General features: G+C 46.4%; 1 annotated feature.

The window, feature by feature from the left end:
- Window positions 3,642-3,842: a silencer, noted in NCBI's record as "peak7383 fragment used in MPRA reporter construct". NCBI's record gives its function as "represses an SCP1 promoter by STARR-seq MPRAs in K562 erythroleukemia cells {active_cell/tissue: K562}" and the evidence as "EXISTENCE:reporter gene assay evidence [ECO:0000049][PMID:32103011]".

A 15,346-nucleotide genomic window follows, 5' to 3' on the forward strand; every position in this document is an offset into this window, starting at 1 on the left:
GGCACTGTTCTAGATGCTGTGATACAATACTGTACAAGACAGACATGTTCTCAGCTCTCATAAGCTTACATTCCAGTGGGCAAGACAGATAATAAATAAACACATTCAGAGAGTAATAAGTTATATGAAGAAAATAAAACATGAAAAAGTAATAGAGTGGTACATTGGGGGTGGAGTGGGGAAGACAGCATTAAATAAAGTAGATGGGGAAGGCCTATTTAAAGAGATGACATTTGAGCTGAGACCTGAAGCATAAGGAATCAGTGCTGTGGATATCTAGAGGAAAATAATTCCAGGCAAAAGAAAAAGCAAGTATAAAAACCCTAGATGGGATGAGTTTAATATGTTTAAGAAACAGAAACAAGGCCAGTGTGGCTGGGGTAGAGCTAATGGGAGGTAGGAAGTCATATTGGAGAAATTGCTTAACGATGGGAACACATTAAAGAAAAAAGAAAAGTTCAGAGTTATTGAGAGGCCAGATCATGTGTGGTCTTATAGACTACTATAAGGACTTTGATTTCTTTTCTTTTTTTTTTTTTGAAATGGAGTCTCACTCTGTCATCCAGGCTGGAGTGCAGTGGCACGATCTCAGCTCACTGCAACCTCTGCCTCCCAGGTTCAAGCAATTCTCTTGCCTCAGCCTCCCGAGTAGCTGGGATTACAGGCGCCCACCACCATGCCTTGCTAATTTTTTTTTTTTTTTTTTTTTTAGTAGAGACAGGGTTTCGCCATGTTGGCCAGGCTGGTCTCGAACTCCTGACCTCAGGTGATCCGCTTGCCTCCGCCTCCCAAAGTGTTGGGGTGACAGGCATGAGCCACTGAGTCCCGCCAGGACTTTGATTTTGACTCTGAGTGAGGTGGGAGCCATAGGAGGATTTTTAACAGGGGAGGGATTTGACTTTGCTTTACACAGGACACCTCTGGTTGCCTACTAAACTATAGGGGGCAAAGGTGGAAGTGGGAACAGGGTTGCTTTAAGTGCTGTTTGTCTATCATTGTGTGACTTTGAAAAGGTGCTTCCTCTGGGTGGACATAGCCCCATGGCACTTGGCTTGGAAAGAAGGGCCCTTGTCACCGGGCACAGTGGCTCATGCCTGTAATCCCAGCCCTTTGGGAGGCTGAGGCGGGCGGATCACGAAGTCAGGAGTTCAAGACCAGCCTGGCCAATATGGTGAAACCCCATCTCTACTAAAAATACAAAAAAAAAAAAATTAGCTGGGCGTGGTGGTGCGCACCTGTAATCCCAGCTACTTGGGAGGCTGAGGCAGAAGAATTGCTTGAACCAGGGAGTCAGAGGTTGTAGTGAGCCAAGATTGTGCTACTGCACTCCAGCCTGGCGACAGAGCAAGACTCCGTCTCAAAAAAAAAAAAAAAAAAAAAGAAAAAAGAAAGGGCCCTTGTCTAAAGAGAAAGATGCCTCTTCCTCCTGCAGGTGTAGCCCCACACCAGGGTTCATGGCTTGGCACTAGAGTACAGGCTGGATTTCAGCCCCTACTGGGCCCCTTAGCCAGATGTCCTTGTGCAATGCACAAACCACAGAACTGTCTGCGGCCTCGATCAAAGAGACTGGTAGAAGGCTGTTTTGGCAATGCAGATGAGAGATGATGATGGCTTGGATCAGGGTGGTAGTGGGGTGGAGGGAGGCAAATGCACAAGGGAAATGCTGAGAATATCCTTAGCCCTGAGTTTCAGTCCTAGCTCTGGGAAGAATGGAGTGTTATTGCTTCTCTAAGAACAGCTGTAACATCCACCAAACATGTGGGTTCAGACTCATTCTGGCCCTAAGCAATTCCCCAAAGGGAGAAGTTAGGGTGGTTACTCTGGGAATTGTGGGGAGGGTTTCTCTCCTCATGGAAAGATGCCATAGCCCCCAGAAAGCTTTGGCTCCCAGGAAGGTTGGCAGCCAATAGGCTGTGCTCTCAAGGGAGTCCAGGAGCAGTTGTGCTTCTGTGTAAATTGTGCAATATGAGGATATTAATTTGTCATAATGATCGAATATATGTTCCAAGCAGCTAGATTGGGCTTGGCAGTTAGTGGACACACAGAATTCTTCAGCCCTAGCCCTAGTTCCTCCATGGACTCACTGAGGAATCTTAGACAAATCGTTTCCCCTTTCTGAGACATAGTTTCTTCATTTGTACCATGTGAGTAATATTCCCTGCAAATAAAAGGTTTTTGGAGCAAATGGAATGAAACCGTGGATGTGAGGGAAACTATTGGAAAGCTGGCCATATAATTGCGGGTATCGTGATGTTGCAGTGCCTCTTTCTCTCCTAACTGTCCCCTTAGTCCAGTTCTCATCCTTTTTGCCAGGACTTCTAGAAGAGCTCCCAGCTGGTTGCCCTGCCTTTGGTCTCCTTGTTGGCTCACCTGGTCTTCCTGAACCTTAAATTTCCTGAAAAAAACCTTTTTTTTGGTGTTTTTTTTGTTTGTTTTTTTTATTTTTTGAGACGGAGTCTCGCTTTGTTGCCCAGGCTGGAGTGTAATGGTGCAATCTCGGCTCATTGCAACCTCCGCCTCCCAGTTACAGCGATTCTCCTACCTCAGCCTCCTGAGTAGCTGGGACTACAGGCGCAGGTCACCATGCCCAGCTAATTTTTGTTTCTGTTTTTGTTTTGAGAGGGCGTCTTGCTCTGTCGCCCAGGCTGGAGTGCAGTGGCTCAATCTCTGCTCACTGCAGGCTCCGCCTCCCGGGTTCACACCATTCTCCCGCCTCAGCCTACCAAGTAGCTGGGACTACAGGTGCCTGCTACCACGCCTGGCTAATTTTTGTGTTTTTAGTAGAGATGGGGTTTCACCGTGTTAACTAGGATGGTCTCAATCTCCTGACCTAGTGATCCGCCCACCTCGGCCTCCCAAAGTGCTGGGATTACAGGCGTGAGCCACCATGCCCGGCTGATTTTTGTATTTTTAGTAGAGACGGGGTTTCACCATATTGGCCAGGATGGTCTCGAACTCCTGACCTCAGGTGATCCACCCACCTCGGCCTCCCAAAGTGCTGGGATTACAGACGTGAGCCACCGCACCCGGCCAAGCCCCCAGATTTATAAGGGGAGGCAACAGCTAGGTGCATTGCAAGGATGTGGACAGAACAGAAATGATGTTGTCCTAAGAAAGGTTAGTTGGGTGGTACTCAGACCACTGTGATCCTTCCCCAGGAGGGTTAGAGGAGACTGTTCCATCCACTTTTCTTTCCCCTTTCTTTTCTTCTTTTTTCTTCTGTTTCTCCTTCCCTTTGTTTTTCTTTGTCCTTTCCTCCTTCCTCGCCACCCTCTGTGCTGTCCCCTTTCTCTCTCTCTGTGATGCAGATTACTGCTTTGCTGTCTCTCTTCTCCCTCCCTTTGATGGGTTGGTCTTTGGGTCTGCCTGCTCCTGTCCTCTCTTGTCCCCCTGACCCCCTGCCCTGCCTCCAGTGCCCTATGGTTCCATGTCCTCCTCATTCCCACTCTACCTTTCCTCCCGCACCCCACGTTTACGGATGAGCAACCTCTCAGAGTCTGGAAGTCCCGCAGCTGTTCTGAGACGCTGGGGCCTCCCACCACTGGGGCCGGAAAAAGGCCGACCCTCTGGAGGGGCCAAGGGGGAGGGGTAGCAGGAAAAAGGGGCGTTACACTTGCAGCTTTCTTTTTGGCCATTCATTTTGGAGGGGAAAAGTGAAACAAAGGAATTTAAAACTTCCTCTTTTGTCCTGCCCTAGATGCAACTAATGATGGTCTAAGAGCTTAGTTTGCCTTTCTAGGAATGAAAACTCTTCTAAGAAACCGCATCTTTTAAACACTTGGTTTGCCGTGGACCACAGCATCTGATAAGACAATGAAAACAGAAAAGCTTTTAAAGCCAACTTAACCCACACATAAATGTGATTCTAATGAAGAATCAATAGTCTGGTGGATCATTTTTCCTGCGACTCCTTGGAGAAGCTTAAAGAGGCTTTCAATCAGCGGGGTAGGTGGTGAATAAAATGTTCTTTTTGAAATAGATAAAGTTGATTTAAAGATGAAGATTAAGTAAATAATAGCCAAGGTGGCACTTGGTCTTGGAAAACATTCTAAGGTGGTTCTTCACTGGCTGTTAGTTAGGAAACACTGGTCTAATGAAATCAATATGTAATGTGAGGGGGACAAATGCCTGCACAGATTCATCAGAACTATAAACACATCTGAAGGAAGAATAGTTCCACAAACAAGTGTGGCCAGCCTTGATTTTTAAAATTATTTTTTATTTTTGGTAGAGATGGTGTCTCGCTATGTTGCCCAGGCTGGTCTGGAACACCTAGGCTCAAGTCACTCTCCCACTTTGGCTTCTCAAAGTGCTGGGATTACAGGCATGAGCCTCTGCTCCCAACTGTGCCCAGCCTTGAAAAGGAGAGACACTGAATCAGTAGAGTGTGGATAGGCCTGTCCAGGCGAGAGGGATTTGATAACATTGCTTGTTCATTGTTGTTTGCCCAGACTCACTTCTCCCTTTTCCTAATTGTACCGTGGTTGCCTTTGTAGAATTCTTTCTGACCCCACTGTAGCAGGCCTTGTAAGTTACTCCCTTCTTCTAAGCTGTCAGCATCCTGCTTTGGTTCCAGTGTCCACTCTTTCCCTGTGGGATTCAGAACTGAGTCCTAATTGATTTAAGCCAGTAGCTCTCCAAGTATGATCTGGGAATCCTTGGGGATCTACAAGACTTTTTCAGACTGCGAATTCAAAACTCTTTTCATGATGTTGTTTGTCTTGAATTTCCACTCTCGTTCTTTCACAAGTATATGGAGTTTTTCAGAGGTTACATGACATATGATGTCATCACTCTGACATTAATAGAATGTGTGCTTCTATTCACAATAGCAAAGACATGGAATCAACCTATGTGCCCATCAACAGTGGATTGGATTAAAAAAATATGTTACATATACACCATGGAATACTACACAGCCATAAAAAAGAATGAAATCATATCCTTTGCAGCAACATGAATGCAGCTGGAGGACATTGTCCTAAGCTAATTAATACAGGAACAGAAAATCAAATACCACACATTCTCACTTATAAGTGGGAGCTAAATAATGGGTATTCATGGACATAAAGATAGCAACAATAGACACTGGGGACTACCAGAATGGGGAGGGAGGGGGCAAGGGTTGAAAAACTAACTATTGAGTGCTATGCTCAGTACCTGGGTGACAGGATCAATCATACCCCAAATCTCAGCATCACTAAATATACCCAGGTAATGAATCTGCACATGTACTCCCTGAATTTTTATTTGTTTGAGCTAGGGTCTTGCTCTGTCACCCAGGCTGGAATGAAGTGGTGCAATGACAGCTCAATGCAGCCTTGACCTCCCAGGGCCCAAGCAATCCTCCTACCTCAGCCTCCCAAGTAGCTGGGACTACAGACACACACCACCATGCCTGGCTATTTTTTAACAATTTTTTTTTGTAGAGATGGGGTCTCACTATGTTGCCTAGGCTGGTCTCAAACTCCTGGTCCCACATGATCTTCCTGCCTCAGCCTCTAAAAGTGCTGGGATTACAGGCATGAGCTGCTGTGCTTGGCCTAAATTTCTCATTCTTAATTTATTACAAGATAAAAACTGGCAGCTATCACTCACACAAACAAAAGCTCTTTTAGGTCCTCAGTAATTTTTAAGAGTATAAAGATGCCCTAAAGCCAAGAAGTTTGAGAACTATTGGTTTAAGCAAATTATAGGGGTCCCATTCCTGTGGGGGAATGTGACACTGTCCTGACTCATGAGACAGAAATAGGTTCCTCTGTGGGATGGTGTTCTGGGAAAGGTGTCCTTGATGTTAAAAAGAAATACACAGGGCCAGGCACAGTGGCTCGCGCCTGTAATCCCAGCACTTTGGGAGGCTGAGGCAGGCAGATCACTTGAACTCAGGAGTTCAAGACCAGCCTGGGCAACATGGTGAAACCTCATCTTTACAAAAAATGCAAAAATTAGCTGAGCGTAGTGGCATGTGCCTGTAGTCCCAGCTACTCAGGAGGCTGAGGCAGGAGGATTCCTTGAGCCTGGGAGATTGAGACTGCAGTGAGCCGAGATTGTGCCACTGGACTCCAGCCTGGGGAGACAGAGTCAGAACCTGTCTCAAAAAAAAGAGGAAAACCCTGACTAGGCAAGAGGCAAGATCTTACCTCTTCTCTTCCTGATGTGTTGAGCGGAGCAGGCATACAACCTAAGGTTAGCCAACCAGATGCTATCTTTGAATCGTGAGCAAAGAATACAAGGATGGAGGGAAGAGTGTTAAGTTGTTCACCACTCTCTCCCTTTCTTTCTTTCTTTCTTTCTTTCTTTCTTTCTTTCTTTCTTTCTTTCTTTCTTTCTTTCTTTCTTTCTTTCTTTTCTTTCTTTCTCTTTCTTTCTTTTTCTTCCTTTCTCTTTCTTTCTTTCGTCTCTCTTTCTTTTTCTTTCTTTCTCTTCTTTCTTTTTCTTTTTCCTTCTCTCTCTCTCTCTCTTTCACAGGGTCTTGCTCTGTCACCCAGGCTGGAGTGAAGTGGCATGATCTCAGCTCACTGCAGCCTCGATTTCCCGGGCTCGGGTGATCCTCCCACTCAGCCTGCCAAGTAGCTAAGATTACAGGCATGCGCCACCACACCCAGCTGATTTTTAAAATTTTTTGTAGAGATGGGGTCTCACTATGTTGCCCAAGCTGGTCTTGAACTCCTGGGCTCAAGTGAGCCACCCACCTCGGCTTCCCAAAGTGCTAGGATTACAGGCATGAGCCACCATGCCACGTCCAAGTTGTTCATTCTTTATTCCTGCAGCTCCCTTTATTTCCTGCCCAGTCTGAAGGCTGCTCCTCCAGCCACACATGGGTTCTACAAGCACTTAATAGTCATCCAATAATTCTCTAGCCAAAGTTGATTTCTGCTGTTCAAAACCAACAACCTTAATAGATATGCAGGGTCAGAAACAGGAATATTCCAATCACCACTGTTTCATTTTGTTTCATCAAGCAAATATCACTCAAGACTGTCCATCTTGGTTGGGCACGGTGGCTCATGCCTGTAATACCAACACTTTGGGAGGCTGAGGCGGGAGGATTGCTTGAGCTTGGGGGTTCGAGGCTACAGTGAGCTATGAGCATGCCACTACACTCTTGTCTGGGTGACAGAGGCTGTGTCTTAAAAAAAAAAAAAAGACTCTTCATCTCTCTTGGCTCTGTTCCTCTACTCAACCAGGGAGCCACTCCATAATTAATTAAATGGCATATGCTTTGTGGAGTAATCAAGTGTACAGTTTGCTCATGTGGCCCAGCTCTGAGTTGAATCAGCTCTGTGTGTTCTTCAAAGTCAGGTTTCTGGATCCACAAGGCTGAGGCTCACAGGCTCTGGATTATAGAATGTGAGGAGCTTGAACCAGCAATAAGTAGGTCATCTATTCAGACAGTCAGCAAATGTTTACTGAGTATCTAACTGTTCTAACAGAATATAGCAGTAAACAAAATAGACACAGTCCCTGTCTTTGTGGAACTGACATTCTAGTTGGAGATATAAACATTAAATAATCAATTGTACAAGTATTTAACTGCAATAAATGCTAGGAAGAAAAAGTACAGGATACCATGATGATGTACAGTTGGGCCCCAAGCTGGTCTTTAGTGTCAGGAAAGGTTTGCCCTGAGAAAGGGACATTCGACATTAGGCAAAAGGGTGGGAGGAGCATTCGAGGCAGAAAGAACATCTTATCAAGGTCCAGAGGTGAACAATACGCCCAGGGGAACAGATTGTTCCCTGATTGTTGGGGAACAAAGTGAGGGGGAGGAGGTCAAATGAGGCTAGAGAGGTGGCAAGGGCCAGAAGTGGCTTTGTAGGTCAGCCCTTCTTTAAAAATTTTTTTAATTGTGATAAAATACACATAATATAAAAGCTACCATTTTAACCATTTTTTTCTGTAAATTTTTTTTCATGGGAGCATAGATTCAAATTGTCCTGAATATATACTCCCCACCTTAACCATTTTTAAGTGTACAGTTCAATGGCATTAAGTGCATTCACATTGTTGTGCAACCATCTCCAGAACTGTCTTCCTCTTATAAAACTGAAATTTTGTGCCCATTAAACAACTCCCCATTCTTCCCTCCCCCCAGTCCCTGGTAACCACCATTCTACTTTCTATCTCTATAATTTTGATTATTCTACGTACCTCATATACGTGGAATCATGCAGTCTTTGCTTTTTTTTTTTTTTTTTTTAAAGAGATGAAGACTCTGTGTTGCCCAGGCCCGTCTCGAACTCCTGGCCTCAAGGGATCCTCCCGCCTTGGCTTCCCAAAATACTGGTATTACAAGCATGAACCACCCTGCTTGGCTTAGTCTTTCTCTTTTTGTTACTGTCTTATTTCATTTACCACAATGTCCTCAAAGTTCACCCATGTTGTAGCACGTGTTAAAATTTCCTTTGGGCCAGTCTTTTCTTTTTTCTTTTCTTTTCCTTTCTTTTCTCTTTTCTTTTCTTTTTTGAGGCAGAGTATTACTCTGTTGCCCAGGTTGCAGTGCAGTGGTGTGATCATGGCTCACTGCAGCATCCACCTCCCCGGTTCAAGAAATCCTCCCACCTTAGCCTCCCGAGTAGCTGGGACTGCAGGTACAAGCCAGCACACTCGGCTAATTTTTGTATTTTTTTGTAGAGACGGGGTTTCGCCATGTTGCCCAGGCTGGTCTCCAACTCTTGACCTCAAACTGTCCTCCCAACTCAGCCTCCCAAAATGCTGGGATTACAGGCATGAGCCACTGGGACTGGCGGGCCAGCCCTTCCTAAACTGTAATGTTGCTGCTTCCTCAGACCTACCCTGATTAACAAGGTGGTAGGCCATGCTAAGAATCTCAGGATGAGATTTTGAAACCTTAATCTTTGTGCTGTCCTTTTCTGCCTTACCTTTCCTGGTTCTTCAATCAGGAAACAAGGGCATCCATGTTTGTATTCATTTCCTAGGGCTGTCATAAAAAGAAGTACACAATTCTGGGGCAGGAGTGGGCATTAAAAAAAGGTATCATAAACTGGGTGGCTTAAAACAATAGAAATTTAGGCCGGGCACAGTGGCTCACGCCTGTAATCCCAGCACTTTGGAGGCCGAGGTGGGTGGATCACCTGAGGTCGGGAGTTCAAGCCCAGCCTGACCAACATGGAGAAACCCTGTCTCTACTAAAAACACAAAAAAATTAGCCGGGCATGGTGGTACATGCCTGTAATCCCAGCTACTCAGGAGGCTGAGGCAGGAGAATCTCTTGAACCTGGGAGGCGGAGGTTGCAGTGAGCTGAGACCACACCATTGCACTCCAGAGCCTGGGCAACAAGAGCAAAACTCTGTAAAAAAAAAAAAAAACACCAAAAAACCCCCAGAAATTTATCCCCCGATAGTTCAGAAAACCAGAAGTCCAAAATCAAGGTGTTGGCAGGGTTCGTGACTTCAGGAGGCTCTGAGGGAGAGTCTGTTCCATGCCTTTTTCCCAGCTTCTGGCGGTTTCCAGCAATCCTTGGTTTGTACATGCATTACTCCAATAATTGCCTCCATCTTCACATGGCCATCTCCCTGTGTGTCTGTTTTCTTTTATCTTTTTTTTTTTTCTTTTTGAGACGGAGTCTTGCTCTGTCATCCAGGCTGGAGTGCAGTGGCATAATCTCGGCTCACTGCAACCTCTGCCTCCTGGGTTCAAGCCATTCTTCTGCCTCAGCCTCCTGAGTAAGTGGGATTACAGGTGCACGCCACCACACCCTGCTAATTTTGTATTTTTTAGTAGAAATGGGGTTTCATCCTGTTGGCCAGGCTGGTCTCAAACTCCTGACCTCAAGTGATCCACCCGCCTTGGCCTCCCAAAATGCTGGGATTACAGGCAAGAACGACCATGCCCTGCCTGTTTTCTTGTATCTTGTCCAAAATTTACTTTTTTTTTTTTTCTTTCTCAATCCAGGACAAAGCTGAACAAAATCCACTCTTCTTACAAGGACGCCAATCATTGGATTTATGACTCACCCTAATCCAATGTGACCTCACCTTAACTTGAATACATATTTCCAAATGAGATCAAATTCACAGGTTCTGGGTAGACATACATTTGGAGGGGTCACTATTCAACACAATAGTACACTGTTGCTTCTACAAAAAGGATTGTTAGAGAAGGAATGTAAGAGAAAGATGTAGATAATGTTCAGCTTTTGTTTTGTTTTGCTTCTAACTTAGGCTTTTGAACAAAGTCGTTGCACAAAATGTACTTTGTGCAAAAGAGAAATCCTGGCCAGGCACAGTGGCTCACAGCTGTAATCCCAGCACTTTGGGAGGCCAAGGCGAGTGGATCACTTGAGCTCAAGGGTTCGAGACCAGCCTGGCCAACACGGTGAAACCCCATCTCTACTAAAAATACAAAAATTAGTAGGGCATGGTGGCCACCGCGCCTGGCCCAGTTACATATTTTGTAATTCTCCGAATTAAATGAAAACTGGTTTGAGCCTTCACAGGCCAGAGTAGCAATAAGTTTAGTACCACTTTCTGGCCGGGCGTGGTGGCTCCCGCCTGTAATCCCAGGACTTTGGGAGGCCGAGGCAGGCGGATCACGAGGTCAGGAGATCGAGACCATCCTGGCTAACACGGTGAAACCCTGTCTCTACTAAAAATACCAAAAAAAAAATTAGCTGGGCGTGGTGGTGGGCACCTGTAGTCCTAGCTGCTCAGGAGGCTGAGGCAGGAGAATGGCGTGAACTGGGAGGCAAAGATCGCGCCACTGCACTCCAGCCTGGGTGACAGAGTGAGACTCCATCTCAAAAAAAAAAAAAGTTTAGTGCCACTTTCTTTGGCTCTTCTCTTCCTCTGGTTTATCCAGGAATTTACACAATCTGCAAAGGAGGTCGCCTTGATGTCTAAGCCTCAGCGCTGCGCGGGGCGGTGGGGTCAGGGGTCGGGGGTGGGGGGTGGGGTAAGGCCTCCACTGCTATGCCTGCCGTTTTGCCTCATTGCCACAAAGTGTCGCTATGGAACACCAGTCCGCTTCTATCTGGTACTGCTGGTCTACTACTGAGCAACGCTTTGCCTGACCCCCACCTTCCAGTACCGATCAGTGAGGTCCTTCATAGGTTCCCCAAGAAAGTGAAGTTCAGGGGTTTAAAACGGAAGGCCTCTAAATCCTTGGGATGAATGACCCTGAGTGACCAGTCTTTCTGGGCATATGCTCAGCTCTTCTCAGAGATCTCACTGTCTCAAAGGCACTAGGTTCAGATTAAGGTAATTGTTTGCCCATCATAGAACCTCCCTCTTTCCATTCCCTAGGGATTCATCAAACAAAACAAAAGCAGACTTAACATCTCTGTGAGGGTTAATCTACATGAAGCCCCCGGTTCTCAGAGATGGAATGAATGCCTGGGGACACGGGCATCATTGTGGATGAGGCCAGCAGCTGAGAATTTCAAGAACTGTTGAGCTCTTATTTCTCACAGGCAAGGTAACAGAACACTCAAGGAGTTTCCAACTGGGGCCATATTGGGTATGAAGCAGATTACATAGTGGAGGAAACAAAAATCTGGGTGCGCTTTGCTTGCCCTCACTGTTCTCACAATAGGTGCTCCCCGGCTGGCCAACGCGTTATCCATATGGCTTTGTCTCCAAGGCTCCAAAAATTTTCTGACAGCAAATAGTATATTATGTCCACTCAAACTTTGGTTTATAATGGGTTTATTATTCCATATCACATAGTAATTTTTTTTTTTATTTTTGGCCGGGTGCGGTGGCTCACACCTGTAAATCCCAGCACTTTGGGAGGCCGAGGCGGGGGGATCACTTGAGGTCAGGAGTTGGAGACCAGCCTGGCCAACATGGTGAAACCCCGTCTCTACTAAAAATACAAAAATTAGCCGGGTGTGGTGGTGGCCACCTGTAATCCCAGCTACTTGGGAGGCTGAGGCAGGAGAATCGCTTGAACCCGAGAGATGGAGGTTGCAGTGAGTCGAGATTGTGTCACTGCACACTAGCCTGGGTGACAGAGCAAGACTGCATCTCAAAAAATTATTCTTCTTATTATTATTATTTTTGAGACGGAGTTTTGCTCTTGTTGCCCAGGCTGCATTGCAATGGCACGATCTCGGCTCACCACAACCTCTGCCTCCTGTGTTCAACCGATTCTCCTGCCTCAGCCTCCTGAGTAGCTGGGATTGCAGGCATGCACCACCACTCCTGGCTAATTTTTTGTATTTTTAGTAGAGATGGGGTTTCTCCATGTTGGTCAGGCTGGTCTCAAACTCCTGACCTCAGGTGATCCTCCTGCCTCAGCTTCCCAAAGTGCTGGGATTACAAGCGTGAGCCACCATGCCTGGCCAAAAAAAATTATTTTTTATGTTTATTTTTTGGAGACAGGGTCTTGCTCTGTCACCCAGCTGGACTGCAGTGTCACAATCGTGGCTCACTGCAGCCTTGACACCCGCCCACACCCGAAGCTCAAGTGATTCTCCCACCTCAGCCTCTCAGGTAGCTGAGATTATAAGCACATGCCACCAGGCCTGGCTAATTTTATATATATAGAGAGAGATCTATCTATCTATCTATCTATCCATCTATCTATCTATCTATCTATATCTATCTATCTAACTATTTTTTTAGAGATGGGGTCTTGCCATGTTGCTTAGGCCTTTTCTCAAACTCCTAAGCTCAAGTGATCCACTCACCTCGGCCTCCCAAAATGCTGGGATTACAGGCGTGAGCTGCCATTTGCCATTTCCGGCCCACATAGTAATTTAATACATCCACTCATAGAGAGCAAAACTTGAACCTGTAACACTTCATTAATTAGAATTCAGCATGTTATTCTGGGAGGCTTCCCTCCAAATCATTCTGGCAAGATTAGCAGAAGTCCAGCCCAGCCTCATCTCCATATTTGTAACTGTGGGGTTTGGTCAGGATTCTTTGTCTGCAAGTAACAGAAAGTGGCCCTGTCTACCTTAAGGAAGAAGGGAATTATTTCAAGGCTGTGAGGAGAACTCACAAGATTAAAAGGAAGGCTGGACAGACAGAAGCCATTCAACTACCAAGGGAACTTGATAATAGCGAGACTTATTAATGAGTTTTCCCAGACACCACTCCTGAAATGAATGAATAGACAAATTTTTTTTTTTTGAGATGGAGTCTCACTCTGTCACCAGGCTGGAGTGCAGTGGCACCATCTCAGCTCACTGCAACCTCCGCCTCCTGGGTTCAAGCAATTCTCCTGCCTCAGCCTCCTGAGTAGCTGGGACTACAGGTGCACACCGCCACGCTAGGCTAATTTTTTTTCTTTTGTATTTTAGTAGAGACAGGGTTTCACCATGTTGCCAAAGCTGGTCTGGAACTCCTGAGCTCAGGCAATCCACCCGCCTCGGCCTCCCAAAGTGCTAGGATTACTGGCCTGAGACACCACGCCTTGCCGACAATCGTTTTTTTCTATCTTTGCATCACTCAAGAGTCAAAGCTCCTGCCGAGCATGGCGGCACGTGCCTGTAGTCCCAGTTACTTAGGAGGCTGAGGTGGGAGGATCACCTGAGCCCAGGGAGGTTGAGGCTGCAGTGAGCTGTGATTGCACCACTGCACTCCTGCCTGGGTGACAGAGTGAGACTCTGTCTCAAAAAAAAAAGATTCAAAGCCCCGACATCCCAATAGAAAAATGGCCAAGGGATATGGCAGACCACAGAAGTGGAAATCCAGTGGAGGAATCATGTTGGAGTAGGTTGTGAGAGAGACGAGAAGAGGGTGACACATAGGCTATTAGGCTTGAGTGCTCTCTAGGGCAGAAGCCAGGTCCCACTGCCCTCTCTAGGGCTCCCCATCAGATGCTTTGTGTCAATTAGCTCCTTTAATTATCACAACAGGCCAGGCGCGGTGGCTCACGCCTATAATCCCAGCACTTTGGGAGGCTGAGGCAGGCAAATCACCTGAGGTCAGGAGTTTGAGACCAGCCTGGCCAACATAGTGAAACCCCCTCTCTACTTAAAAAAATACAAAAATTAGCCGGGCGTGGTGGCAGGTACCTGTAAGTCCCAGCTACTCAGGTGGCTGAGGCAGGAGAATCACTTGAACCCAGGAGGCGGAGGTTGCAGTGAGCCGAGATCATGCCACTGCACTCCAACCTGGGCAACAAAGCGAGACTCCATCTCAAAATAATAATAATAATAATAATAATAATAATAATCATCATCATCATCATCATCATCATCACAACAACTCTGTAAGATGAGTGTGAATGTCTCCCATTTGTCCAGTGAAGAAACTGAAGCTCAGACGGGGGATAGCTGGCCTTAGGTTGTCTAGCTGGGAGATGAGAGAGCTGAGGCTGACCACATAGTGGTCATTTCCCCTATATATGCTGCCTTGGCTGCTGTGTATGGCTGTACAGTTTATGCATTGCACAAGCACGCCCAGTCCAGAGAATGAGTAGGGTCTGGGCTGAAATCTAACCTATGATGATCCACTCAACAAGCTGGCTGCCTCTTTGTAAATCTGTGTCTATCTCTGGAGGAAGAGGCTCATTTCTCTAATTTGTTCTCCCATGTAAAAATTCTTCAACCTCACCTCAACCTCTGATTCTTTGGTCCCACCACCTTTTGTTTGTTTGTTTGTTTGAGACAGAGTCTTGCCCTGTCTCCCAGGCTGGAGTGCAATGGCGCCATCTCAGCTCACTGCAACCTCTGCCTCCCGGGTTCAAGCGATTCTCTTGCCTCAGCCTCCAGAGTAGCTGGGACTACAGGCATGCAACACCACACCTGGCTATTTTTTATTTTTGTATTTTTAGTAGAGATGGGGTTTTGCCATGTTGGCCAGGATGGTCTCGATCTCTTGACCTCGTGATCTGCCTGCCTCAGCCTCCCAAAGTGCTGTGATTACAGGCGTGAGCCACCGCACCCGGCAGGTCCCACCACCTTTTAACTAACTGCCCCTCAGTCCCCTCATGTCCTCACTTCTCTCCTTACCCAGCATGGTAGGCAGAATTATCTGATGACCCCCATAGTATCTCTACCCCATTATTATGCCCTGTATAATCCCCCTTCCCTTGAAGGGGGTGGTCATTGTGACTTGCTTCTAACCGATAGAATATGGCCAGGATGATAGGATTTCACTCCTCTGATTTGCCCTGCCCCTACCTCTCTCTCTGTCTCTCTCTAGATATAGCTATGGCTCCATCTTGCTAGCATGCAAAGAACTCAAACTGATGGCCTTGAAGAAGCAAGAAGCTGCTATGCTATTGTGTACTACCTATGGAGATGGCCACATGGTAGGCAGCCCCTAGGGTCTGAGGGCCTTAGTTCTACAACCACAAAGAATTAAATTCTGCCAACAACCATGTAAGTTTGAAAGAGGACCTAAACCTCATATGACGCTGTGGTCCTGG

Source organism: Homo sapiens, chromosome X (assembly GCF_000001405.40).
Source record: "Homo sapiens chromosome X, GRCh38.p14 Primary Assembly".
Classification (NCBI taxonomy): Eukaryota; Metazoa; Chordata; class Mammalia; order Primates; family Hominidae; genus Homo; species Homo sapiens.